The 22,773-nt window shown below is 57.1% G+C and overlaps 1 protein-coding gene and 1 long non-coding RNA gene across 5 annotated transcripts in view, besides 7 other annotated features; one reads left to right on the forward strand and one right to left on the reverse strand.

The window, feature by feature from the left end:
• LOC124903750 (uncharacterized) lies at positions 201-1,859 on the reverse strand. The gene is made up of 2 exons (XR_007065172.1): positions 1,688-1,859; positions 201-781 (listed from the first exon to the last, which is right to left on the reverse strand). It is a non-coding gene; the product is annotated as an uncharacterized LOC124903750 (long non-coding RNA).
• Positions 723-1,285: an enhancer, noted in NCBI's record as "H3K4me1 hESC enhancer chr16:87634653-87635215 (GRCh37/hg19 assembly coordinates)". NCBI's record gives its function as "activates a minimal SCP1, AML or CMV promoter by ChIP-STARR-seq in primed H9 embryonic stem cells {active_cell/tissue: H9 hESC(primed)}" and the evidence as "EXISTENCE:reporter gene assay evidence [ECO:0000049][PMID:30033119]".
• The window catches only part of JPH3 (junctophilin 3), a 96,322-nt gene continuing 75,059 nt past the window's right edge, over positions 1,511-22,773 (forward strand). Inside the window, exons 1-2 of one of the 4 annotated variants that reach the window (NM_001271605.3) lie at positions 2,184-3,204; positions 3,765-4,304. In NM_001271605.3, coding sequence (NP_001258534.1) covers positions 2,823-3,204; positions 3,765-3,835 — 453 coding nt within the window. In that variant the 5' untranslated portion in view covers positions 2,184-2,822 and the 3' untranslated portion in view covers positions 3,836-4,304. Of the gene's footprint in view, positions 1,607-2,183; positions 3,205-3,764; positions 4,305-22,773 lie in introns of those variants that run through there. The other 3 variants (NM_001271604.4, NR_073379.3, NM_020655.4) reach the window with 3 other exon arrangements.
• Positions 3,959-4,005: a tandem repeat, named in NCBI's record as "junctophilin 3 repeat instability region".
• Positions 3,964-4,005: a repeat instability region, noted in NCBI's record as "repeat instability region; expansion of the CTG (CAG on opposite strand) trinucleotide repeat is associated with Huntington disease-like 2 (HDL2)". NCBI's record gives the evidence for it as "EXISTENCE:polymerase chain reaction evidence [ECO:0000082][PMID:11694876]".
• Positions 8,166-8,366: a silencer, noted in NCBI's record as "peak2658 fragment used in MPRA reporter construct". NCBI's record gives its function as "represses an SCP1 promoter by STARR-seq MPRAs in K562 erythroleukemia cells {active_cell/tissue: K562}" and the evidence as "EXISTENCE:reporter gene assay evidence [ECO:0000049][PMID:32103011]".
• Positions 14,072-14,572: an enhancer, noted in NCBI's record as "H3K4me1 hESC enhancer chr16:87648002-87648502 (GRCh37/hg19 assembly coordinates)". NCBI's record gives its function as "activates a minimal SCP1, AML or CMV promoter by ChIP-STARR-seq in naive H9 embryonic stem cells {active_cell/tissue: H9 hESC(naive)}" and the evidence as "EXISTENCE:reporter gene assay evidence [ECO:0000049][PMID:30033119]".
• Positions 19,126-19,970: an enhancer, noted in NCBI's record as "H3K4me1 hESC enhancer chr16:87653056-87653900 (GRCh37/hg19 assembly coordinates)". NCBI's record gives its function as "activates a minimal SCP1, AML or CMV promoter by ChIP-STARR-seq in naive H9 embryonic stem cells {active_cell/tissue: H9 hESC(naive)}" and the evidence as "EXISTENCE:reporter gene assay evidence [ECO:0000049][PMID:30033119]".
• Positions 19,971-20,815: an enhancer, noted in NCBI's record as "H3K4me1 hESC enhancer chr16:87653901-87654745 (GRCh37/hg19 assembly coordinates)". NCBI's record gives its function as "activates a minimal SCP1, AML or CMV promoter by ChIP-STARR-seq in primed H9 embryonic stem cells {active_cell/tissue: H9 hESC(primed)}" and the evidence as "EXISTENCE:reporter gene assay evidence [ECO:0000049][PMID:30033119]".

Genomic DNA, 22,773 nt, shown 5'->3' on the forward strand with positions numbered 1-22,773 from the left:
TTGGAGGTGGGGGTCTTGGAACTGCAAGGGAGCGGAGTGTACACTGGCCAAAGGTGGAAGGTGCTGACCAGTAACTGCTTGGAAGCAACCACCGTGTTTCAATAGGATCTCAGTTGCAATCCACTGCTTGTGTGAAGGAGGGCTGCTGATTCAGCAGCAAAATGGTTGGAAATAAAATGGAAGAAATGAAAAGTAGAACATACGAGTGGTGGCAATGTTTATTTCAACAGGCAGAGGGCTGGGTGTCTCCATGCAGGAATCCATGACCCTCCCTGGGGGGCTGGCTTCCAATAACATTACTTCCCACTTCCCGAGCGCTTACTGAGTGCTGGGCGCCTAGCTTTTGAATTCCCACGGTAACCCTATGGGAACTCTGCCATCTCCATTTTACAGATGAGAAAACTGAGCTCAGGGACATTAGGTGACTGCCCAAAGCCATACTGCTGGTGGGCCCCGGAGCCAAGGTTTCGACCCGAATCTCTTGAGGACAAGGTGCAGTTCCTTTGGCCCACACATTTACAACAGAGAAATTTCCATGGACATGAAACAGCCCAGAGATATTATTTCATACCCATTTAGATGAACAAAGTAAAATAAATGGAAAGAAAATCAGAAGTTTGAGGACACCAGTGCTGGCCAGGAAATAGAGAACCACAAACCCAGGCACACTGAAGGGTGAGAGGTCAGTTGCTCCAGGTGTTTGGAAAGCAATTTGGCAGCTTCCAATAAAGTCCAAGACGTAGCTGGTCCAATGATGCCACCGCAGACATTTAGAGAACTTCTGTAGAGGGGCACAGGGAGACAGCGCTAGAAAGCTCAATGAATCACTGTAACTGCACAAAACAAAACAAAGCCGACCGCCCTAAATGTTCCTCATTGACAGTGGGTGTATGAGGAGGTGACTGTCCTCCTGGCTGCTGGTACTCTGGGGAGGGAGCTTTGGTGCCCAAGGCAAGAGACTGAGGTTGAACTCTGGGACTCCCAGGAGGGGCTGATTTTTCTGAGAGCCCCGTGAGCCAAGAGTGGGGACCATCCTGATTCTCTCGGACAGGGGAAGATCTGAGCAGGGCTCCTGGCTGATTGGAGGCTCCGAATCGCACCTCTTCTCCTGTCCTAATCTCAGGCTCCAGGCCTGGCTTGCAGTTTCTGGCTCACCGCGCTGCGGTCACCGGCCCACACTCCCAGGAGCGAGGACCCTGGGCAGCCTCCACACCCCCATCAGCCCACTGCACCGGTCTGCTGCCATTTCCCGCACGCATTTCAGGAGGGCTGGGGACGCCGGCTTCTGCCTGAGGATTTATGGTCCAGGAAATGCATTTTAAATGGATCCCAGGATGCTCGGATCCAAGAATCAGACTCTCTCTTGTGCGTGGGAAGAGGGGCGGAGGGTGAGAGTATGTCTGGAGAGAGACCTAGAAACGCCCGAATGGCGGTCCCACTTTGCTCCCCAAAAGCGCGACCGTTCCCCGAGTGGGGGGGCGCTACCTGTTGGCCAGGGCGCAGGGCGCACGGAATTCGGGTGACTTTGCTCCAAGATACACGCGTGTGTCCCGACTCTCACTCAATTTATAGGGGAGAGGGACTCGCCAAATCCCTGTTTTCTGGGGTAAGCCCCCCTCCCCCCACTCTTGGACCCAAGCTGCCCGGAAGGAAGAAGGAAGCATTGTTTGTCACCGGAGAAAACCACCTGTGGTTTGCAAAGGGCCTCAGTCGAGTCAGGGGCAGGCGGGGCAGATCCGAGCCCGGCGGGAGGGGCGAGGCGCGGGGGCGGGCAGGGGCGAGGGTAGGGGCGCTCAGCTGGCAGGTCCTGCTCTGCAGGCCTCACCGCCCAGCTCCCGGGAGGGGGCCGAGGGCGCCCTGAGTGCTGCGCGCCTTCCCATGACGCAGTTCCTGTGCCTTTAAATCCCACTCCCGGAGGGGGCGGGGGCGCCCCGGCTGGACCCCGGTTTCCAGTCCGGCGGGGGCCCCGGGGAAGCCCAGGGCGGGGAGCGCGGGGCTGGGGGCGCGGAGGGCGGGGCGCCCGGGGTCCCCGCCCGCGCGCCGCGCCCTAGCCTGCTGGGCCGCGCCCCTCTTGGGACCGCCGCGCTCCGGGGGCGGGGGCGGGGGCGGGGGCGGGGGGCGGGGGGCGGGGGGCGGGCGGGGGCGCGCGGGCGGGCGGGGTGCGGGCGCGCGCCGCGCGGCCCGAGCGCGCGAGCCGGGCCCGGAGCGCACGCCGCCGCCGCCACCGCCGCCGCCGCCGCCCGAGCCGCCGCATTGCTGCTGCTGCTGCCGCCGCCGCCCCGCGCCCGGCCCGCGGCCCCCAATATGGTGCAGCCGCCAGCGCCGCCGCCCGTGCCGCCGCCGCCGCCCGCGGGCCCCGCCGCCGCCCTCGGGCGCCCGCAGCGCGGCAGCCGCAGGTGGGGGGCCGCGGCCCGGGCCTGAGCTGCCCCCCGCCCGGCCTCGGCGCGGCGCCCTCCCCGCGGGGCTGCCGGCGAGGGGCCCTCTCGCCGCTGAGGTGGAGCCGCGGGCCCCGCCGCCGCCGCTCCTGCCCCCTCCCTCCCTCCTCCCCTCCCCCTCCCCTCCGGTCCTGTCTCCAGCGGGAGCGCGAGACGCTGGTCAGGCTCCGCGGCGCAGCTCGAAAAGGAATAATCGCCCCCGATTGACTGAAATTCCTCCGGAGCCGGCGCCGCGGCCGCCCGCGCCCGAGACCGCGCTCCGGGGCCGCGTCCTCCTCTCCTCCGGAAAACGCTCGCGACCCAGGGCCGCCGGCGGCCGCGACTCTGCTGTGTCGATCGCCTGAGTCCGTTTTCACCGTTTGCGGGATCTGGAACCGAGTTACATGCATGTCCAGTGGGGGCAGGTTTAATTTTGACGACGGAGGGTCCTACTGTGGAGGCTGGGAGGACGGCAAGGCGCACGGCCATGGCGTCTGCACCGGCCCCAAGGGCCAAGGCGAATACACCGGCTCGTGGAGCCACGGCTTCGAGGTGCTGGGCGTCTACACCTGGCCCAGCGGCAACACGTACCAGGGCACCTGGGCGCAGGGCAAGCGCCACGGCATCGGCCTGGAGAGCAAGGGGAAGTGGGTGTACAAGGGCGAGTGGACGCACGGATTCAAGGGGCGCTACGGGGTGCGGGAGTGCGCGGGCAACGGGGCCAAATACGAAGGGACCTGGAGCAACGGGCTGCAGGACGGCTACGGGACCGAGACCTACTCGGACGGAGGTAGGTGCCGCGGGCCGGGCCGGGCCGGGGCGGGAGGGACGTGCTTCCGATCGCGCCCCTTCTGTGGATCTCTGGGGAAGTTGAGCTGCGTCCTCCGGTTGGGCCGTGGGCACCAGGGGCCTTTCCCGGGCTTCCCTGGAAGCCACGGCGGCTCCTGGCTACAGGTTGCCCCGCTGCCTGGTGGGGACAGTGCCCCTGTGCCAGCTGAAGGGTGTTGGGGGCTTTCCAGGGGCAGAGCCAGGCGGGGCCCAGCAGAGCCTCCGTGCGTCGGACACAGCAGGCCGGAGACCTGCGGGAAGGGCCAGGCTGGGCCCGCGGCCCTGGGGAACCCAGCAAGGGCAGAGGGGGCTGGGAGAAGGGCCCCTCCCCTTGTTGGCTTTGCCCCCCACCCTGGAGGCCGCCCTTCGATCAGGCCCCAGCTTCGCTTCTGGTGTTCCTGCGGCGCCCGAGGGCCTTCCTCAGCCCCGAATCTGCCCAAGCCGAGAGAAAGGGAGTGATGGGGAGCGCTAGGGGCGGGGGATGCCAACCCGAACCAAAACAGCCAGGCAGTACACTTCTAGGTGGTTGGACGCGGACTAGCGCTGTCGAAGCAGGCTGCTGGAGGGAGGAGGGAGGCCCATCTGCTCAGTGAGAGCCCAGGAATCTCGTCTTTCAGTGGCTGCATCGTTTTCACCATTAGTTGAGGGAATCGATCTGTGCCTTCATTCTAAGATGCCACCGCATTCGGGGCAGAGCCGGGGCCGGAAGCCAGGGAGCTGCCTGCTGCTGCTGCTGCTGCTGCTGCTGCTGCTGCTGCTGCTGTAAGATGGTTTCTGTGCAGGGAACCTTGGCCGGCTCTGCAGCTGCCCGCCTGCCTGGACTCTCCGATATCCACTCCTCAGTGCACCTGACACGCATGGAGCCGGTCCTTTCCTGGAAGCCAGACCCCAAACAAACTGGCTTCCCCGACCAGTCCACTCCCATGTGGGAGCTTATCCTCAGAGGCACTGGGTCCTCTGCCTCCCTCGGGCGGCTCGCCTGTTTCAGGCATGGATGCCTGGGAAGGGAGTGAGACGCAGCAATGACTTGTGCTTCTGCCGAGAATAAAAATCCTGAGCGTACGTGTGCTCTAGTCCTCCCCGCCCGCTCGCTGCCTCCGAGTCTCATGAAGAAAGCTCGGAACACCTGCTCCACGGCCACATCCAGGAGTGGCAGGGGGCTGGAGAGTAATTATTATTTTGGCTTATGCAACTGAAAAGCAGGGTTCGTTATTACCCGAAGAGGAGGAGGAGTCTGGGGCAGTTAATTATATAATGCTCCTGCCTGTCAAAGCCGTGCCCAGCCCCGGTCTCAGGCGGCCTTTTCTGTGCCGTTGTTGTTTTCATGGAGCAGGTTGGAGAGCTTCCCTGACCCTGGGGCGCTGAGGGCCGGGCGGGAGCAGACGGTGCTCCCTTGGTTCCAGGCTGTGGGCCTGTGTGTGTGTGTGCGCGCGCGTGCAGGCACAGGGAGGCCCGGGCAGCAGATGTGGGTGGCTGAGACAGGCAGGCAGCCTGGCGCTTCCAGCTGGGCTGTTTGGAGCCCAGGGGCTGCTATCACCCCCAGGCTCTGGCCAGGAGGCTCTGCAGACCTGTCCTCCAGAGGTGCTCCTGGCTGAGCCTGCTCCAGGAGGACTGTGCAGGCCGGGCTCACGCAGGGCATGGGGACGAGAGGAGCCAGGGCTTTCGTTGTCTCTGAAACTCCTCAGAATATCTGGGGGTGAGGCTGAGCACCCCACTCTGCCCACGCTCCTCAGACATCTCCAGAGTCCTGAGGAATCATTTCTTTCATTCAACAAATACTGATGGAATGTTTGCTATGAGCCAGGTGTGCCAGGCTCTGGGAAAACCACACTGAGCAAAGCAGACAGCCAGGTGTCCTAGGCTTTGGAAAAACCACACTGAGCAAAGCAGACACAGATCTTTGCCCTCACGGAGCTTACATTTGAGGGAGAAGGAGCGGCGATTATGTTGTGACTTTTTAGGGAAGAAAGGATCTGATTCTGTGGCTGGCCGTGTAGTTTAGGATCTGACGGGTTAAGGGGAGAGATGTTTTTCTCTATAGGTCCACTTCCCTGGGCTCTCCACTCCAGCCAGACAGCTCCCTCAGCATCCTGCTCCCCTAAGCCCTTCCCCTCCTTGTGGTCCTGCCTGATCATGTCCATTCTACAGATGAGGCCAGTAAGGCCCGGGCTTTGTGATTCAGGAGTCCCAGCCTTTGGCTGCAGGGATCCCCGATCTGTCTGGGACCAAACCCCCCTCGTTCTTGCATCACATTGCCGGAAGAAGCCCAGATTGTCAACATCCTCTCAAGGGGTATGCGGTTCTTAGCTCTCCCATAAGCAAAGCCAGGCAGGGATGCAGATGGGGAGCTTCATGGCCGGCTCTCCCTTTTGGTTGGCAACATGGCATGACAGGAAATAGAATTGACCCTTCTGGTCTTGAGGACTCGGGCCTGGACATCTGGGCCACTTTTCTGGAGGGCTCCCAGCTTCCTGTTGGGAAGGGGGTGATTATGGCACTGAGTGTCCCCAGGCAGCCCATGGAAGGAGCCTGCAGGGTGTGGGGATCGCCAGAATGGGGCAGAGACCTCCATGCCTCCTTCCCAGTCAACTGGTGGGTGGTGACAGCCATGTCGCAGTGAGGAAGGAGTTAATGGCCCCAGCTCCACTCTGACTTTTCCTTTGCACAAGAAGTGGGGGAATATTGGGCAGCCATCAGCGAAGCTCTGGAACCTCAGCCCAGCTCTGGGCGCTGACTTGGGGAAATGGCGATTTTCATGAATGATGCACCAGCGGCCAGCGTATTCCACATGTAGCTGGAATTGGTGTGGAATTTCAGCTGGGGACACCTGTGCCAACTCCTCCTCCTCCAGGTGTGTCCTCCCCTTAGGGTACTCCCTGATTGAGCTGAGTAGCTCCTACCGTCTGCATGGTGAGGCCTGGGGGTGTGGGGTACAGGCACACTTGCTTCCAGTCACAACCCCAGCTTGCATCCTGGGCTTGAATCCCTGCCCTACATGCCCTGTTTTGTGACCCTGGTTGGATTACTTAACCTCTCTGAGCTTGTTTCTTCATCTTTACAAAAGGTTGATAACAATACCTGTAAGGTGGGTGAGGATTAATTGAGAATGGTGTGCGTGGCTATGCCAGGAATATAGTAAGCATACATTATTATTTACCGTTAGTTTTTTCATTACAGTTTCCAGGCAATGCATGTCACTTACAATGATCATTATTAGAACCAACATCTGGACAGGAGACTGGTGATCATGTAAATGATGTTAAATAGCAACATTAGATACTTACTGTCTGCCAAGCATGTGGCAAGTGTTAAATGAATTACAGCCCTTAATTCTTACACCTCTAGAGGGTGATTTTCTTGTTATTCTCATTTTCCACACTGGGAAGTGGAGGCTCCCAGTGGGTGTGGGTTGGGAGGAACCAGCAGGCGTCACACTCAGGACAGCCATCCCAGAGCCTGGGCCTTTGCTAGGTACGTCGCTCTCTAAATGCCCCTGTGCAAAAACACCTCCTGTTCTTTCCTCTCGTTTATATCTCTCGTTCTCTTGTGCGTACAGTGGCCCAGAATTGCAGGTGAATGCCCATGCACAGACGGGCAAACCCATACACTGCCCAGGACCCCTGGCCCCCTGAGGCCCACCATGCATGCCGGTGCTGCACCGCACAGGTATAGATCTTTCCTTCGGGTGCTGTGTACACAGAACCCCTCGAATCGAAAGTTACCCCCTCCAATAAGCCCTCCTACACCCTGAAAGATATGAGTCATCTCACGCCCAAGCCTCTCCCCCTCATACTCAGGTCCCGTTCACCGGCCCAGATTCCTCAACCCACACAAATCACACACACCCACAGTCGGAATTCAGATCCCCCCAGGCGCCTGCGCACACACACGCGCACAAAACACCTGCCACCCGGAGACATTTTCCACCCCGTCCCCCAGAACGCAGCCACTGCGCCCTTGCGGCCTTGCTTGCTCTCCACTGGCCAAGGACTCTGAATCTCCACCAGGCCTGTAAACGGGGAGCTCAGATGACAGAGGCAGTGGTGTGCTTCGTTTCCATTTTAAACACACGTTTATGCTGTTAGTGCCCTTTTAGGGAGAAAAATCCCTCATCTCAACAAAATAAACTACCATGGGGCGTATGCTTTGTGCTTGGCTATGACTATGACTATGCAACAAGTAATTTCTTTTTCAAATGAGTGCCCAGGTTAGAAGGAATCAGGTTCATTGGTGCGGAGATTATGCCAACAGAAACTCATTTCAGAAACAAGAAGCAAGCCCTGAGCAGTTGGAGACGAAAGCGTTTTCTCCGAGATTCTCTTTCCGCTACTTCGGGGGGCGGGTGGTGAAAGGCTCCGTAAGGTGAAAAGAGAAAGGAAGAAGCAAACAGCTATTTTTTTGTTGCCAGTTATAGCTGAGAAACAAATGTGGCTGAAGGGCACCCCTACCCACGTTGGCCGTGAGGCCGTTTGATGGGCTTTGTGTGAGGAATCCTGAGATGAGCTGGCCGGGGAGTGAGGACCGGCACCCGCCTACAGCAGCGATCTGGAGTAGTGAGTGAGCAGCCCCAGCTGACACAGAGAAGGAGAGAGAGAACTCTGACCCCTTCTCTTCTGAGGACACCCAGCCGGAGAGAGCAAGAAGGGGTGGAGTGTGGGGGTGGGGGCAGGAGCCTCTGCTGTTCCTTTCCAAGACTTTTTCTTCCTGTTTTCCCCAAGCCTCCACAACTCTAAATATGACGAGCTCTCAACTGTGAGCTAATAATGTTGAATGTAACGCCCTTTGTGTCCTTAGATGACAAAAAGACTTGTGAGTACTAGAGGAGAGGGTGATGTTGGTGTGAATTTTCCACATTGGTCCGTGTCTCCGTGGACTGGCCGCTTCCCCCGCTGGTAGCTTCATGGCTGTGAGAGGCCATGCGGTGGATGGAGCCACCGCTGCACTGGGGTCCTGGCTCGAACTTGAGTAAGGTGCTGTCTTCCAAGTCTGGAGAGGAGAGGAGGAGAGAAGAGAGGCAGTCCCTTCAGCACCTTGGAGAGCGCTCCCGGCTGCCTGCCTGGGTTGGGTGGACGGCTGGACTCACTTTCGCTCTAGGCATCCTCTTCAAGCCAAACCATCTCTCCTTGCCAGTGACCGCCTGGTCCCGGACCCTCCAGCACACTCAACCACCAGAAGTGTGCCTATGCCTGTGCCAGATGTGGGGGCCACGCCTGCGATCCCAACACTTTGGGAGGCCGAGATGGGAGGTTCACTTGAGCCCAGGAGTTTGAGACCAGCCTGGGCAACATTGTGAGACCCCCGTCTCTACAAAAAATACAAAAATTAGCCAGGTGTGGTGCTGCACGCCTGTGGTCCCACCACTCAGGAGGCTGAGGTGAGAGGATCGCTTGAGCCCCGGAGGTCAAGGCTGCAGTGAGCCAAGATGGTGCCACTGCACTCCAGCCTGCTGACAGAGCCAGACCCCATCTCAAAAGAAAAAGAAGAAGTGTGCCTGGTCCTACTCAGTCGGTGCATGGATTCCATGCTCCAGGAAGGGCTGCCACTTGGCATGCCTGCCTATGTTTTCACCCCTACCCTGTCAGTCCTTCCTGAAGAAGTGAGTGTCTTCTGAGGTAACATCCTCTGCTGGTCAACTGGGAGAGCAGCTCCCAGCTTGTGGAGGTGGGTTTGGGGGTGAGACTTTATTTTTTTGTTTTTATTTATTTATTTATCTGTTTTGAGATGGAGTCTCACCCTGTAGCCCAAGGTGGAGTGCAGTGGAGTGATCTTGGCTCATTGCAACCTCTGCCTCCTGGGCTCAAGTCATTCTCATGCCTCAGCCTCCCGAGTAGCTGGGATTACAGGCATACACCACCACACCTGGCTAATGTTTTGGGTTTTAGTAGAGACAGTGTTTTGCCATGTTGGCCAGGCTGGTCTTGAACTGAACTCAGGCGATCTGCGTGCCTCGGCCTCCCAAAGTGTTGGGATTACAGGTGTGAGCCACTGTGCCCGGCCTAGGGTGAGACTTTAGTAAGATGTATAGAAGTTGCTCTGAAGTCTAAGGTGTATTCCTGCCATAGGATATGTGTGTTCACTTCTCTTGGAGCATAACAGGGGTCATAGGTGCACAGCCGAAGGCAGGCAGAGGAATGATTTGTCTGTACCAGTCAGTGAAACTGTTTCACCACCATTCTCTTTACATCTGCCTCAATGGGTGAGTCCTCTAGACCAATGGTCCCCAACCTTTTTGGCACCAGGGACCTGTTTCATGGAAGACAATTTTTCTACCGCCCAGGGTTGAGGGATGGTTTTGGGATGATTCAGGCGCATTCTATTTATTGTGTGCTTTATTTCTATTATTATTACATTGTAATATATAGTGAAGTAATAATACAACTCACCATCATGTAGAATCAGTGGGAGCCCTGAGTTTGTTTTCCTACAACTAGACGGTCTCATCTGGGGGTGATGGGAGATAGTGACAGATCATCGGACATTAGATTATCATAAGGAGTGTGCAAACTAGGTCCCTGGCATGAGCAGTTTCCAGTAGGCTCTGCATTCCTATGAGAATCTAATGCTGCTGCTGATCTCACAGGAGGCAGAGCTCAGGCAGTAATGCAAGCGTTGGAGAGCGGCTGTAAATACAGACGAAGCTTCACTTGCTTGCTTACTCACTCGCCACTCACCTCCTGCTGTGTGGCTGGGTTCCTAACAGGCAACGAACCAGTACCAGCCACATTTCACGGGCTCAACAGCCACCTGGGACTAGTCGCCACCATATTGGACAATGTAAATCCAGAACATTCCATCAGTGCAGAAAGCTTTATTGGGCAGGCAGCACTGGTCTGGAGTGTAAGTTCCATATGGGAAGCGGTTTGTGTCCATGCTGGTCACTGCCATGTGCCCAGTGACTAAAATGGTGCTGGCACGTGGTGGTCAATAAATATTTGTGGAATGAATGACCTGTGCAAGTAAATGCGGTAGTATTTGGTAATTTTGTTTACCGTCATTATTTCGTATGCCTGTTTCATTGCAAGACCTTAGAATTGGACGTAGTTAAAGGAAAGTTTTTCCGTGAGACCCTCATGTCCACAGGTCAGTCTCCCTTTACAATTAGCATTAAAACATGCCTGTTCTAATTCCTTGATCAGTTTTGTTTTGTGGTTGGCTTTGTCATTGCTCCTTAAGAGACTGCCAGTGTTTCATATGAGAAAGATGATGGTGTTGAATGCAGTGAATAATGGAGCGATACCAGCAGTCATGACTGGGAGGCATTTTTGGACCACGATTTAATGAGTAGCATTCATTGCAAAGTGCAAAGAAAGGCCCATGGAAAGATGAGTACCCTCCAGTCTGCTTAATTCCTCACTATCTTTTTACTGCTCCCTTTTCCTTGGCTTGATTCGTTCAGTCATTGGAGAAGCATTTGCCAAGTTCAGACCGTGTTCAAGGCACAAAGACAGAAAAGCTCAGGTCCAACCTCAGTGAATCAGCCTTAAGTATTTGCTGAGCATTGAGTATGTACGCAGTACAGAGTTTGTGGTAACGTGGAAGATTGGAAAAAAAGAAACAAACACATAAAAATGAAAATGCAAGAAATAGGATGTCCTATGTTCTACCAGGAAGAATAAGGAGTCTGAACAGGGATGCAAAACCGAGATATATGGAATAATTCAGGGTTTCTCATGCCACAGTGGGGGTCCTGAATGGGAGCACCACAGGGCAGGGACCTGAGGAGGGGCAGGGCAGGTGTGTGTGTCCCTGAAGGAGCGGCAGAGGCTTCTGGGGGTAGGCAGTGCCTGAGTTGAGTCTGGAAGGGCAGTAGGGTGAGAGTTGTTATCCCAAGCCTGAGGCTGCAGATTTGTTCGAGGCCATGTCTCCCTCAGCCTCAGCTTCCCCATCTCTATGATTTAGTCATGACATTTTTTTCCTTCTCAACATGTGCCATCTCCCTCCTACCTATGAATGTCACGGGTATTGTTCTGGACCCAGGGAAGGCTCGCTGGTGCAAATGCTTTCCAAAAACACCGAGAGTCGCTCTCTCTGCTGCTGGTGGAGTCTGAGTTGGGCAGGACATGGGCCCGCCTCTGTCTGCTGCTCTATGCCAGTGCTTCCCAAGCCTGAGTGTTACAAGAACCACCTGGAAGGTGTGTCAAGACACAGATTTCCAGCCCCACCCCTGAGTCTCTGGGCCTGGGATGCCACCCAAGAATTTATATTTCTTACAAATTTCAGGCGATGCTGAGGCTGCTGATCTGGGGACCTCACATTAAGAACCACAGTCCTGGGCTTGTGCCTCCTAAGCCTGGCTACACATTCGAGTCACTAAGAATGTCCCTGGGAGACGGTTAGAAATGCAGCGTGTCAGGCCTGCCTGACCTCCAGGGTCAGGATGTGTGTTTGGAGATGCTCAGGTGGCTGCAGTGCAGGAGATCCTGCTTTGGTGCACTCACTTTAACCCTAGCTGTGCATGAGCTTCATCTAGGTTGCTTTAGAAAATGCAGATGCCCGGGCCCCACCCACAGGTGCTGATTGAGGTCCTCTGGGTACAGCCTGGGCATTGGGATTCTTTTTATTTTAATTTTTTTCAGACGGGGGCTGGCTCCGTCTGTCGTCCTGGCGTGCAATAGTGTGTGATCGTGGCTCACTGCAACCTCTGCCTCCTGGCCTCAAGCCATCTTCCCACCTCAGCCTCCTGAGTAGCTGGGACTGCAGGCATGCACCCCCATGCCCAGCTAAGTTTTGTTATTTGTTGTAGAGATGGGGTTTTGTCGTGTTTCCCAGACTGGTCTCAAACTCCTGAGCTCAAGCGATCCGCCCACCTTGGCCTCCTGAAGTGCTTTTACAGGTGTGAGCAACTTTTTTACAGGATTACAGGTGTGAGCAACTGCACCTGGCCTGAGATTATTTTTTAAACATTCCAGGTGATTCTAACGTTCAGCGCAGGTTGAGGACCACTCATCTGGAGCGTCTGTAGCTGGACATCACTTGGGAGCTTTGATGACTGACCCATGCCGGGGTCCATCCAAGACCACTGACACTGGAAACTTTAAGGCGGGGGTCTCAGCCTGAGTATCTGGTCACAGCAAGCAGGGCCTAGAGTTGCAGCTGTAGATAAGAGTTTTTCACACTCTGGGTCAAGTGGTTCATGAAATTAATATAGTACATTAAAATAGACTAGAGGCCGGGCGTGGTGGCTCATGCCTGTAATCCCAGCACTTTGGGAGGCCGAGGCGGGCGGAGGCCGAGGAGGTCAGGAGATTGAGACCATCCTGGCTAACACAGTGAAACCCCGTCTCTACTAAAAATACAAAAAAAATATTAGCTGGGCTTGGTGGCGGGCGGGCACCTGTAGTCCCAGCTACTCTGGAGGCTGAGGCAGGAGAATGGCATGAACCTGGGAGGCGGAGCTTGCAGTGAGCCAAGATAGCGCCCCTGCAGTCCGGCCTGGGTGAAAGAGTGAGACTCCGTCTCAAAAAAAATAAAGTAAAATAAAGTAGACTAGAAATTTTCCAAGCACAATACCTACGTTTCTTTCTTTCTCTTTTTTTTTTTTTTTTTTTGAGACAGAGTCTCACTCTGTCGCCTAGGCTGGAGTGCAGTGGCGCGATCTCGGCTCACTGCAAGCTCCGCCTGCCGGATTCACGCCATTCTCCTGCCTCAGCCTCCCGAGTAGCTGGGACTACAGGTACCCACCACCACGTCCGGCTAATTTTTTGTATTTTGTTTAGTAGAGACGGGGTTTCACCGTGTTAGCCAGGATGGTCTCGATCTCCTGACCTCGTGAACCGCCCGCCTCGGCCTCCCAAAGTGCTGGAATTACAGGTAGCGTGAACTCAGCTCACTGCAGCCTCTGCTTCCCGAGTTCAAGCCATTCTCCTGCCTCTGCCTCCCGAGTAGCTGGGATTACAGGTGCCCACGACCATGCCTGGCTAATTTTTGTATTTTTGGTAGAGACGGGGTTTCACCATGTTGGCCAGACTGGTCTTGAACTCTTGACCTCAAGTGATCCGCCCACCTCAGCCTCTCAAAGTGCTGGGATTACAGGTGTGAGCCACCTAGCCCAGCCTATTGTGTTGTTTTTGAATATATTTTTGATCTGCAGTTGGTTGAATTTGTGGACTTGGAACCTGAAGCTATAGAGGGCTGACTGTGTATGATAACCTAGAACTGCAAAGCCAGGGAATTCCTTTGAAAGAAAAACACTTTTTCTTTCTAAAACATCTATTTTGTTCCAAGTATTGTGCTGGGCATTTTATCATAGACGTTATATCTTACATTCCTTAAGATAATGCCTTGAGATAAGGCATTCCGCTCCCATTTAAAAGACAGGAAAGGTGAGGCTCACAGGGTCACACTCGCTGAGATCACAGCGCTGCAAACTTGTTTCTGGCCGCAGAATTGTTTCCGGCGCTCCGAGATGCCTTTCTTGATGGAGCCAGCATTCCAGGGGCCCACTTGCTTTACAGATGAGGAAACTGAGGCCCACCAAGGGAGGGGCCCTGCCCCAGGTCTCACAGTGAAGCAGGGGCAGAGAGGTTTCACTCCCAGCAATTTGTAAGCTTGGGGGACTGCCAGCGTGGTGTGGACACAGAGCTGCGTGACCCCTCCCAGGATAAAAGCAGGTCCCTGCAGATACGAGGAGCCGCGTGTCCCCTCCCAGGATAAAGGCAGGTCCCTGCACACAGGAGCTACACGTCCCCTCCCAGGATAAACACAGGTCCCTGTACACAGGAGGAGCTGTGCGTCCCCTCCAAGGATAAAGGCAGGTCCCTGTACACAGGAGGAGCTGTGCGTCCCCTCCAAGGATAAAGGCAGGTCCCTGTACACAGGAGGAGCTGTGCGTCCCCTCCAAGGATAAAGGCAGGTCCCTGTTCACAGGAGGAGCTGTGCGTCCCCTCCCAGGATAAGTGCTGGTCCCTGCACACACGAGGGTCCGCGCGTCCCCCGCAGGATAAACGCAGGTCCATGCACACAGGAGGAGCTGCGTGTCCTTTCCCAGGATAAAGGCAGGTCTCTGTACACGTGTGGAGCTGTCTGTTCCCTCCCAGGATAAACGCTGGTCCCTGCACACAAGGGGGTCTGCGCCTCCCCGTCCCAGGATAAAGGCAGGTCCCTGCACACGTGAGGAGCCGCGCGTCCCCTCCCGGGATAAACTCTGGTCCCTGCACACACGAGGAGCCGCGCGTCCCCTCCCGGGATAAACGCTGGTCCCTGCACACACGAGGAGCCGCGTGTCCTCTCCCAGGATAAACGCTGGTCCCTGCACACGTGAGGAGCTGTGCGTCCCTTCCCGGGATAAACGCTGGTCCCTGCACACACGAGGAGCCGCGCGTCCCCTCCCGGGATAAACGCTGGTCCCTGCACACACGAGGAGCCGCGCGTCCCCTCCCGGGATAAACGCTGGTCCCTGCACACACGAGGAGCCGCGCGTCCCCTCCCGGGATAAACGCTGGTCCCTGCACACACGAGGAGCCGCGCGTCCCCTCCCGGGATAAACGCTGGTCCCTGCACACGTGAGGAGCTGTGCGTCCCTTCCCAGAATAAAGGAAGGTCCCTGCACACATGAGGGTTGGTGGCTCTCCTGAGGGTTCACAGGTTCCCGGGGACCCATCCACAGATCCCCAGATAAGAACCTGTCCATCCTCCCCGGGGCCTAAGCGTGCCCAGATTGATCTCAGTTTGCCCAGTGAGTAGAAAAATAGGCCGGGATCAGCAGATTCCTATAGACCTGGTGGAGGCCTGGGCTGGAGTAGACCCAGGCAGAGTTGGTCTTTCACCTCGCCCCCTTCCGGAGGCCCCGTACCCTTGGGGTCAGCATCCAGGCAACATGGGATACCCAGAACCTTCTTTCTTGTCCTGAGCCCTTCTCTCCCAGCTCGGCATGGACTTGAGTGACAGCTGCTGTGTTTCTTTCCTGCCCAGTGAGTGGGGCCGGGCCCTGGAGCTTTCCCTGTTCATTTGTTTCGTCTCCTTGTGGGGAAAGCATGGCTCCCCCATTTTCCAGATGGGAAGCAGGCTCAGAGATGCAACAGAAGTGGGAAGTGATGGAGCAGGGACTCCATAGCTCCAGTCACGAGTCTCAAACTCTGTGCGCATCTGGGTCGCCTGACCCGGCCTCCCTGACCCGGGCTGCCCAGAAGGGAGCCCAGGAATGCCGGGGAGGGTCACACAGCCAGGGCCATTCAATGCAGGTGGTGCTGGGACCACGCCTTGAGAAGCTCCAGTCGCCTTCCCTCCTCTGCAATGAGGCATTGCTAGGGGGAGGCGAGTGGGGGAAGAGACCGGGTCTGTTGGGGTCAGCCCCGGGCACAGCACCCGACAGCAGAGGAGACCTCCGGAAATCATGGCTGGATGGGTCAATGAGTGGTCAATCAGGCGAGCTCTGAGCGACAGGAGGGGCCGGTGGTGTGGAGAGAGGGAAGAAGAGCCTGCAGGAGGGAGACGGTGCGTGCAGGGGCACCACGGCCAGAGCCTGCTTGGTGTTCAGAGAGCCCTGTGGCTGCCGCAGTTGGGAGAAGGGCACGGGGTCTGAGCACAGACAGCTTCCAGGCCCCAGGGTTGGGGGACTTTGAATTTTCTCCAGGGCCCGGGAACGACATTGTCTGATTTAAGCAGAACAGCAACGCAATCTGGTTTTGTGTGTGTGTGTGTGTGTGTGTGTGTGTGTGTGTGTGTGTGTGTGTATTTTTTTTTTTTTGAGACAGAGTCTTGTTCTATTGCCCAGGCGGGAGAGCAGTGGCGCGATCTCAGCTCACTACAGGCTCCACCTCCTGGGTTCACGCCGTTCTCCTGCCTCAGCCTCCCGAGTAGCTGGGACTACAGGCGCCCGCCACCACGCCTGGTTAAGTTTTTGTATTTTTTTTTTTTTTGTATTTTTAGTAAAGACAGGGTTTCACCGTGTTAGCCAGGATGGTCTTGATCTCCTGACCTCGTGATCCGCCCACCTCGGCCTTCCAAAGTGCTGGGATTACAGGTGTGAGCCACTGTGCCCAGCCAGGTTTTGTATTTTTGTAATTACACTTTTTATTTTGAGATCACCGTAGATTCCCAGGCAGTGGTGAGGAATAGATCAGAGATCCGGTGTCCCCCTCATGTGGTCTCTCCCGAGGTGGCATCCTGTGCAACTGATGACATGTCGGAACCGGATATTGACGTGGACACAGTCAGGATGGGGAGCACCCGCGCCCCGGGGTCCCTTGTGTTGCCCTTTTGTAGCCATACCCGCTGCCCTGGCAGCCTCTGAGCTGTTCTCCATTCCTTCAGTTTCGTCGTTTCCAAAATGCTCTGTAAACGGAAAAGTACAGTTCGTCATTTTGGGGCTGGCTTTCGTCACTCAGCCTCATTTGCTGGAGATTCTTAGGTGTTGCCTATATCAATAGTTCGTTCCAGGCTGGGCTCCGTGGCTCACGCCTGTAATCCCAGCACTTTGAGAGGCCTAGGCGGGTGGGTCACCTGAGGTCAGGAGTTCGAGACCAGCCTGGCCAACATGGTGAAACCCCGTCTTTACTAAAAATGTAAAATTAGCCGGGTGCGGTGGTGCGTACCTGTAATCACAGCTACTCGGAGGCTGAGGCAGGAGAATCACTTGAGCCTGGGAGGCGGAGGTTGCAGTGAGCCGAGATTGCGCCGTTGCACTCCAGCCTGGGTGACAGAGTGAGACTCTGTCTCAAAAAACAAACAAACAACAAACCAAAAAACCAAATAAAATAGTCCTTTCTTTCTTATTGCTGGGCGGTGTCCCACGGTGTGGATGGGCCGTTTGTTTAACCATCTGTCCCTTGAAGGGCATCTGGGGTGTCTCCAGCGTGGGATGTCGTGAATTTAAAAAGCTGCTGCCAACTCTCAGGTCCAGGTTTTCCTGTGCACAGATGTCTTCGCTTTCCCCCAGTGGATGCCAGGAGAGCTGGTGCTGGGCCGTGTGGAAGTTGTATGGCTGAGTTCACGTGGTCACTCTGGTGCTGGCAGGGCAGGGAAATGGGGGGCCAGAGAGGAAGCTGGGGGTCATGGGAGGGATGCCACCTCTAGGGAGGGGTGCCTGTGTCCAAGGAGTGGAGATAGTGGCTGGGTCTGGTGGGGGCTGTGGAGGTAGGGGGGCTGCATGGTAGGGCAGAGGCCAGGAGTCTGGGACTGGGTGGTCCTGTCTTTGAGGGAATTTGGAGAAGGAGCAGGTGCAGGTGCAGGAGCTGAGAGTCACCTGTGAAACATGCTCAGCAGAGAAGCTGTGCGCAGCCGGGGCAGGGGTGCGTCCATGGTGGGGATGGTGTGTCTGGGTGGAAGGGGCGGGGCATCTCCCACTCCCGGTGGCATTGAATAGTGCGAGGGGAGTGGCTGGGCGCGGTGGCTCATGCCTGTAATCCCAGCACTTTGGGAGACTGAGGTGGGCGGATCACTTGAGTTCAGGAGTTTGAGACCAGCCTGGGCATCATAACGAAGCCCCGTCTCTACAGAAAATACAAAAATTAGCTGGGGCATGGCAGCCTGCGCCTGCAGTCCCAGCCACTCCGGAGGCTGAGGTGGGAGAATCACTTCAGCCCGGGAGGTGCAGGTTGCAGTGAGTTGAGATTGGGCCACTGCACTCTAGCCTGGGCGACATAATGAGACGCTGTCTCAAAAAAATAAATAAATAAATAATAAAACTTGGAAATAAGGCAAAAAATATTATTTAAAGAAAACAGAAAGTGGGAGGGGAGAAATGCACAGGATGGAGCCTAGGGGAGCCCCAGGACTCGAGAAGTGGGCAGAGGAAGAGGAGGCAGGAGGAGGGAGGGAGGCCGGGCAGCAGCTGGGGGAGGAGGGCGTGGACAGGCCGGGAAAAGGAGCAAAGGCAGGATGAGGACACAACACTGGCCTGTGCCTGGCCTTGTGGCAAACACCTCATCCCTTAGGCCATTGGCCATCGTCCCTGCTGTCCTACAGCCCCGAGAGGCCAGGTACGTCCATGTGTCGTGCCCATTTTACAGACGGTGGAGCTCAGGCCTGGGAGACAGACTGACAGTGTTCGGCACTAACTCCACCCCAGCCTTTTTCCACCTGGCCACACTGTTTACTCGTTCCCGCCAGCAGCATGGGGGCTCTGGTGTTTCTGCGTCCTCATCCGCACCTGTCATCGCCTGTCTTTTTGGTTGCAGCCACTTCTGGGATGGATTTCCTGGAGGCTGGTGCTGAGTCTCTCTAGGTGCTTGTCGGCCCATTGGTACATCTTTGGAGCAATGCCTGTTCAGATCCTTGCCCATTTAAAAATTGGGTTATTTCAGGCCGGGCGCAGTGCTCACACCTGTAATTCCAGCACTTTGGGAGGCCGAGGTGGGCAGATCACCTGAGGCCAGGAGTTTGAGACCAGCCTGGCCAACATGGCAAAACTGCATCTCTACTAAAAATGGGAAAATGAGCTGGGCGTGATGGCAGGCGCCTGTAATCCCAGCTACTCGGAAGCTGAGGCAGGAGAATCACTCGAACCTGGGAGGCAGAGGTTGCAGTGAGCCAGGATTGCACCACTGCACTCTAGCCTGGGCAACAGAGTAAGACTCTGTCTCAAAAAAAAAAAAAAGGGGGGGCACTGCGCACCAGCCTGGGCAACATGGCAAAACCCCATTTCTATAAAAAATGCAAAAAATTAGCTGGGCATGGTGGTGCCTGTAGTCCCAGCTATGAGGAAGGCTGAAGCAGGAGTATCACTTGAGCTCAGGAAATCAAGGCTGCCGTGAGCTATGATCACGCCACTGCATTCCAGCCTGGGTGACAGAGCGAGACCCTGTCTTAAGAAAAAAAAAAAAAAGAAGGATTATTTGTCTTCTTACTGTTGAGTTGTGACATTTTCGTAGGCTGTAGACACCACTGTGAGCCACCGGCTCCCCTGCACCCCAGCCCACCTGGCTGCAGGCTGCCTGCTCCGTTGGAGGTTGGACTTCTGAGATAAACTGCGCTGGGTGTCTGTCTCTTGGCTCCAGAGTACCAGGCACAGTGCCATGCACACAGTAGGTGCTCAGTAAGCGGCGACAGGACAAAGCCAGGATCTCAGTCTGCGGCTTGGAGGGGTCTGGGGTCCGGCTGTCACTATCTGGCTCTGCTTACCAGCTCCGGTCCTCGGACACCACGACGGCTGCAGGCAGAGGGAGGAGCCACGGAGTCTGGGGGGATGTTGGGCCACACAAGTATCTACTGAGCGCCGACTGTGTGCTAGGCAACAAGCTGGCCCTGGGGACAGTGGTGAACAAAGAGCCCTAGGACTTCTTGGTTGGGGGAATAGGACCCGTCAGTCAGCCCTGCACAGCTTCCTGCGGGGCACGGATGGGGCGCAAGGAAGGGGCTGGAGATGCCTTCTAGGGAGTGAGGCTGGTGAGCGGGTTGGGGAGGAACCATGGGGCCTCCCAGACTTCAGGAGGCGCATCTGTGAGCACCAGGGACAGAAGGAACAGGGCCACCCTGGGACCCAGTGCGCAAGGAGCCCAAGGGCCCTCACACGTCACCCTTGGGTGTGCCAGAGCCAGTCCAGTTGTTAAGAAAAACAAGAGCCGGAGGTAAACCCCTTGGGAAACAGAGGTCCCAGCCCACAGTACTGCGTGGGAGGGAGAAGTGTGGGAGTCACCTGGGCTCTGGGGTCCCTCAGGCCAGCAATGGGGACTGGGATCCCAGCGCAGGCTGAGCCTGGGTGGCTATGTCCACACTGCAGAGACCTATCGTGAGCAAGTTTATGGTGCATTCCTGTGTGGAAGAGTACAGCAGAGGCCAGGGGGGTGGGGCTGCAGCGACAGTGACCAGGAGTCACCCATAGGGGCAGGGTCCTGGTGTCATGGGCCAGAGCGGGCCAGAGCGGGGACGGGGGGCAAAGGGAAGGAGCATTTGAGCCTGGATGGGGGTGTGGTTAGCAGAGAGGTGGGAGGGGAGGGAGAGAGAGAGAGAAGGAGAGAGAGGGAGAGAAGGAGAGAAGAGAGGGAGAGGGGGAGGGGAAGAAGGAGAAAAGGGAGAGGGGTGGGCTGTGAGGAGAGGGAGGGGAAGGGCTGCAGAGGGGGAACGTCAGTCCTGCCATGGGGGGGACGTGCGTTGTTCCTCGCCCCTCCCTTCCAGGTTTTGATGGTGCTGTTTCCTGCGTTTACACCACAGCTCTTTTTGCGTCTTTCCTTGGATTCCACACAGCAGCCCTGTGAGGCGCTGTCCTCCTGCTGCCCGGAGGAGGAGACTGAGGCCAGAGATGCGGCAAATTTCCCAAGGCCACACGGTTCTGCTGTTGGGGCGGCACTGGGCCTCCCTGCCCGCCTGCCTCAGTCTGGCCCTGTGAAGAGGTCTCTTGGAACTGTTAGGAGCATTCGAAAGAAACTGGGCCCCTGGGCTGGGTACGGTGGCTCGCGCCTATAATCCCAGCACTTTGGGAGGCTGAGGCCTGAGCACTTGAGGTCAGGAGTTTGAGACCAGCTTGGCCAACATGGTGGAACCCCATCTCTACCAAAAAATACAAAAATCAGCCAGGCATGGTGGCGGGCGCCTGTAGTCCCAGCTACTCAGGAGGCTGAGACAGGAGAATTGCTTGAGCCCGGGAGGCGGAGGTTGCAGTGAGCCGAAATCGTGCCACTGCACTCCAGCCTGGGCAACAGAGCGAGACTCTGTCTCAAAAGGAAAAAGAAAAAGAAACTGGTCCCCTGGAGCGCAGGGGTCAGCAGCTAACTTCTCGCCCTGGCAGCTGGACCCGACTTGGCCCAGAGTGCCAGGGCCAGTGCCCCCATCTGCTCTGTGTCGGGAGGGGCTGCTGGCAGGAGGAGGTGGCCACTCCAAAATCCTATAGACGGAGTCCGGGGGAGGGGGTTCGGGACAGGAACAGCCCAGACCTGGGATCCGCGGCTGCGCAAGGGGCTTCAGGGTGGTCTGGGCCTGGTTCTGAGCCCTGTGAATCCAAGGCCACAGGACTGGGCCTGGGGGCTTCTGAATCCCCACCAGTGCCTTCTTGCTCTCAGGAGCGTTGGCCAACCCCCCAGGCCCCAGGGCTTCCCCTCGTGATTCTCCTCTGAGAGAAACACACCCACCTACAGCCGCCAGCCAGGAGCAATTGCTGTGCAAACACCCGGGACTGTCTCAGACGGTGGATGCAGGCAGCCAAGCCCCCGGAAGGCTCCGGTTGAAGGGCCGGGTTTATTCCTCCCTGCAATGAGGGTGGACACTCCCCCAGGAACCACGGGGCAAGAGGGTGTTGGGAAGAGCCCCACTAGGGTTTGGGGTTTGGGTGGGTGGTGGGGAGGGGACAGTCTAGGGACGTAGGGCTCACTAGACCAAGTGCTGTTGGAAAGGGGGCGATTCTCCTGTGGGTGCGTTGGTCACTGTCGCCTGTAGACATGGGAGACCTGCACCAAAATAATGCGGAGATGGGTCAAGAAGCAGCCGCCCCTCCCCTTAGTCGAGAGGGGGGATGGTTGGTGATCGTGGGTGGCACAGTGACCTGTTTCTATCTCACTCTACTGTGATCTCAGAGTGACCTTGTCTGGGGTCACTGGGGTGTTCTGGGAGATGGTTTATATCCAACAGAAGAACGACGCAGCCTGGCAGGAGCTCCAGGTGTCAGGGGGGGGCCCCTTTGGGGTGGAGGGGATGCCTCAGAGCCAGCCGCATGCCACCCCACAAGCTACCTCTCTGCCGCCGTCTGCCCCAGAGCTGCCTGCCTTCCGAGGCCTCAGCTGGTCCTGTGCGTCCCTGCGTCTCCAGGACTCTTGGGTGATGGCTCAGGGGAAGTTTCCAGAAAGCCCAGCCATTTCCTCCTCTCCTCCTGGGCTTGGGTCTGAGGTCAGCTTCCCAGGGGGCACCCAAGCCTCCGTGAGCAAGGACAGAGAGTGGCTGGAGTGAGAACGGGTGCTGCTGACCTTTGGCGGTGGGAGGGTGTCTCCAGCTGTGTTCCCATTTCTCAGTGACTACCAGGTGCTGTGGCCCTTGGCTGCAGAGGGGCGTGCAGGCAGCCTCTCCTTCCTGTGAAGCAGCAGCTGTGGCAGGGCCGGGAAGTAGAGCTCCCCTCTGTGAGGCTGTGGCTGGGGTAGGAGGAGAGCTCTCCCTTCTGCGAGGCTGTGGCTGGGATGGAAGTCTGCCAGAGGCGGGCTCAGAAGAAGTTCCATGAGGAACTGAGGGCTGGGACCTGCAGGAGGAGCTGAGGGTGCATGGGGTCTGGGGGAGCCCCAGAGATGGTCAGGGTCTCCTCCTGATAAATCAGACCCCCCCCCGCCCCACCCTGCCGCTGAGAGGCCTGGTCCTGCTCTAAACCTGGAGTGGATGGGGAGCGTGGGCTGGGGCTGGGGGGCTGGGGAGGTGGTGTAGCCAGTGCCCTGCCCCAACTCAGCCTCTGGTCACCCTTCCAGGGCTGGCAAGGCATTGGGGGTATGAGAGGGCCCTGGGGTCCCAGGGTCTCAGAGGACTTGCCTTCTCTGCGATGGCCGCTACTACCTGGGTCCCACAGGGGGGTAAGTTCAGAGGGGGACCTGGTGGAGGTCGGCTGTGGGCAGGGGAGCCACAGGAGTGTCCAGGCCCCTCCCAGGCCAGCCCCACAGATTCTGAGGCAGCAGTGGGGGCCTCA

Source organism: Homo sapiens, chromosome 16 (assembly GCF_000001405.40).
Source record: "Homo sapiens chromosome 16, GRCh38.p14 Primary Assembly".
NCBI classification, from domain to species: Eukaryota; Metazoa; Chordata; class Mammalia; order Primates; family Hominidae; genus Homo; species Homo sapiens.